The 4,398-nt window shown below is 36.6% G+C and overlaps 1 annotated feature.

The window, feature by feature from the left end:
* Positions 1,829–2,346: an enhancer, noted in NCBI's record as "NANOG hESC enhancer chr11:80274541-80275058 (GRCh37/hg19 assembly coordinates)". NCBI's record gives its function as "activates a minimal SCP1, AML or CMV promoter by ChIP-STARR-seq in primed H9 embryonic stem cells {active_cell/tissue: H9 hESC(primed)}" and the evidence as "EXISTENCE:reporter gene assay evidence [ECO:0000049][PMID:30033119]".

Raw genomic sequence — 4,398 nt, forward strand, 5'->3', positions numbered from 1 at the left:
GAAGAAGAGGCAGGTTCAAAATATATTTAATGAGTAAAATGAACGGATTGTTTTGTTCATTTGCTGTGGGAGGTTGCAAGAGGTGGAAAGGAGTCAAGAACGAAACTTGGCTTTGAATTTGAGCAACTCTACCCTGACCCCAAAATTACTCTTTAAGGCTAGGCCAGATCCTGGCATTCCTATGATTACAGCTCTCCAAAGGCTCTCCTTGTTTTGAGAAAAGAGTCCAGATCTTTTGCATAGAAGGAAGACCACAGTCAGAACCCAGCCTCGATGTAGAATTTTGGCCTTTTTATTTCACCAGTGTCAAATTCTGTGAAGTTTTCCAAACTTGCTACATGGCTTATGCCTTCTATATCTGCCCATAATTTTCTCTCTTTCCTAAACTTACATTTTTTCATACTTCTGAAAATTCCAAAATTCCTTCAAAGCTCTCATCAGGTAACATTGCTTAAAACGTCTGTTAGCTTATTCCTTTCTATTGTTTTGTCTTTTTTTACTTTATGTGAGTTTATTTTACACTTATTGCATTTCATTAGAATACTGTGGTTGTTGCTGTTTTTGTTTATGTATTTTTAGCACAGATACTTTAATCTTTTAATGTCAGCAGATTTGAAAGTTTGTTTTGTTTTTTCCAGGCCTAGATGAAATTAGATGTTAGGGTATAGAAAACTGAAACGAGAACATTTTATACTTTTCCTTTTAGTTTAGAGAGCCAAAGCTGCGCGCGTGCACGCACACACACACACACACACACAATTTTCTTTCAAAGTTCAAAAGTATTTTTCTAGCCTGAAGTAACCAACCTGGAAACAGAAAAAAATAGAAAGAAAAAAATAAGAATATATTAAGTTCATGTCACTATGCTAGATCTCATTACTCAAATTATCTCATTTTATCTTTAGAATGATCCTGTGAGGCTAGTTACACTAGTTCTGGGCAACACTCAATCTCTACCTTTTGGAAACCCTAGGGATCAATTTAGAAACCTTTGCAGTGGTGCTCACAAGAAACTAAACGACATTGCTCATTGTTCTCCCCAGTGCAGACCCCAAATGACTTCTTCCTTGTTTGATATTCTACGTTACAGGGAATGACATCATTAAGCTGGCACTTGATTTATGCTGGGTAAAGGGGAAACTGTGTCAGAGATAAATTAGATTGCTGTCCTGTCACAATAAAGATCTCATCTTTCATTGTAAAGACTCCAAATTATTTCCAAAGCATCAGGGAAATGCACACAATGACAATAAACAAAAGGACAGCAAGACAAATTCTTGGGATTCTCGGAGCCAGTTCTCAATGACCCTCTGCTTGCACAATGACGAATGTTCAAGCCTTCCTAGAGTATTATTTATCCAAAATGTTTTGCATTTTTTTGACTTTATGGACTTGGGAATTATGACTTATTTGTCACTTCTGGAGAAAGACCTACCTTTCAGGCACCCATTTTCTTCATCTACATTATTAAAGATAACAATACCAATTGAAAAGCATGATTGAGAAGCTCAAATGAGTTTAGGAATATAAAACCAGCATAATGCATGACACAATTATTTTTATGTATTTAATGTTGGATTATCTGGAGTCTGAATTTTAAAAAGACTCGATATGCATATACATAACTAAGTAAAAAAAAACTGCATGCTAATTTTCACTACACTTTGGATGCAATTGGCTGCTAAACTGCAGCATTAACCTTTCACAGGACATGCTAGATTTATGGAGAAAGACCATCAGCAGCAGAGGCCATATCAACAATAAATGACTCCTTTGCCATGAACAAGCTAACTTAGTTTAGCTCAAATCCTAATAAAAAGTGTTTTTCCTTTTCTCCCCCCAAGCAAGCTTTTACGGAAAATTAGTAGCTGGAGAATATGACCAACAAAATCAGTTTCATTATAAATGCTTTATAGTGAAATGTTCTTTACTTGAAGAAAATAAAAATGCCAAGGAAAATTATCTGACATTTATAACCCTTTCACTTCAAAATGCATGAGAATTCTATATGGAAACATTAAAGGAATATGCTAATTCACCCTCTAAAGAACAAAGGAAAACCTGAATAAAAGGACAATGGCCTTCAGGCTTAGTGATAAGAAAAGTTAACAGTGACCTGAATGTCAATTTGTTGGACTATTTGTTCTTTGTTTTGAAGTTTTTATTTTTTTCTTTGTAGTTGGTTAGAAACTGAATTATAGCTATGCCAATGACTTCTAAATTTATAATTTCAATCAATCAACAACTTCCCTTGAGTTTTAGATTCATTTCTGTCTTTTTCAAAACTCCACTTGGGCATTACACAGTATTGTCAAAAGTTTAATCCAGCACTTTTTCCCCAAACCCTCCGTTATCTTACTTCATTTAAAGTTACCACCAAGCCATATTCTGTCAGTGATGCTTGATTTTCTTTATTCAACCATCCACATTTAATCACTACTCAAACCCACTTGATTCTTCTTCCTGAATATTCTGGAGTGGACCCACTTTCCTGCAACACCATGACTGCTAGTCTTCCAACACACCGCTTCTCACCTTGACTACTGAAATAGTCTCTAACGTGCTCTCCTTGACTCCCCCTCAATTCACTCCATTCCCCTTGTCACACCTGAGCCAAGGCTCTTTCTAGAGTGTAAACGCAAATCTGTCCATAACTTCTCACTGTTTAAGTCCCTTCCAAATGTTCAAAGGAGAAATTTCGGACTCTTTTACATGGATACATAATCTTGTCCCTGCCAGTCTTTCAACCTCAGTTACTCTTTCCATCAACCTTTTTACTTTTACCATCATTGCCATTTCCTTTAACTGCCATATTAGCTCTCATATTTCAGCCTTTCCAGTCACTATTCCTTCTATCTGAAGTGCCCTTCACAGCCCCTCTACTACCATTGAATAGTGACTGTTGAATAGTCACATTTCAACTTAGAGATTACTTTGTGAGGAAAGATTTCTCTGGTGCCACCCGTGGCCAAGTGAATTAAATGCCCTTTTTGTGTACTTCCATAGAAATCTGACATTTCTCATAACATTTACAATTTTTTTTCATTTAATTATACATCTTCATTAGAGTGCAGATTTTCTGAGGGCAAGAACATCTGATGACATAATCACCCCAAGGCCTAGGACAGTATCCAGAACACATTTAAACATGCTCAATGTGTTACATGTATACATGTATGTACAGTCTGAAATTTAGTCTCCTTCTGCACTGAGAAAATGGAAACAGAACAGAACTGCCACCCATCCCAACACTATCTATAAGAATCTACATGAATCTGTGCCACTCTACTTGGACTCCCCTCAGTTAAGCACTAGGACACTCATTCAATGACTTTGCCCCACATTCTCTTTCCCCTTTACTATTTGTTTTCACTATTAGATCATTCCCAAGAGTAAACAAATATGTTATTATTTCTTCTCAAAATAAGCAAACAAGAGCCTTCTCCCTTTTCTTACATTTTCTGTTCTACTTACTGGCACATTTCTTACCTATTTATAATTCTTTGAAGGAGTTGTCTGTATTTACTCTCTCTAATTCATCTCCCTCTTATTTTATATCAAACAGACCCCATTTGGCACATTTCATCATTCTCTCTTCCTTCAGAGATTTTCATTTCTAGTTTTAAATACGCCTCCTACCCTCTGGTTAGTCCTCTTTCTCAGTTCCCTTTGCTGATTTTACTGCATCGAACTGAACTCTAAAAGCTGGTATGCCTTACGCCTAAGTCCTGACATCTGTCCACAAAATTTTAGAATGCTATATATGCCAACAATTCCCAAAATTGCATTTCTAGCCCAAAAGCCTTTTTCTTCTGAAATCCAGACTTGTGTAGCCAATGCTGACTCATTATTTCCAACGGAATACTAAAAACTCATGTCAAACTGCTGTACCAGAATTTTCTGTGCTTTAAAAAAACGTTTTACACACATGCTCTCCTCTATCTCAAGGAATGACAACTCTATCCATCCAGGTGCTGAGGTTAAAATCTTTGGAGTCATTTTTAAGGTCTCTCCATCTCCACAGACAAAAAATGCTTTTGGCTCTATCTTTAAAATATATACAGAATGTTACCACTTCTCACTGCTTCTACTGCTAGCGACTCTGACCAAGGCATCCTCAACTCTTACCTGGGTTATTGCATTAGATTCTTACCTAGTCTTCCTGCTGGTATATTTGTCCTGCTACAATCTATTCACACAGCAACTGTATGATACTTTAAAATGTTAAGCTAGATTACCTCACTCCTCCTACCAAAATAAAAGTTAAAGTTTTTACCATAACCTTCAAGGCCATGGTATCTGGTCCCTGATTACCTCTGACCTCATCACCTATTATTTGTCCTCCTCGCTCATTCTGTTTTAGGAACACTAGCCTCCTTGTTTTTGCTTGCTCATGAT

The sequence above is a fragment of the Homo sapiens genome, chromosome 11, assembly GCF_000001405.40.
Source record: "Homo sapiens chromosome 11, GRCh38.p14 Primary Assembly".
In the NCBI taxonomy this organism is placed as follows: domain Eukaryota; kingdom Metazoa; phylum Chordata; class Mammalia; order Primates; family Hominidae; genus Homo; species Homo sapiens.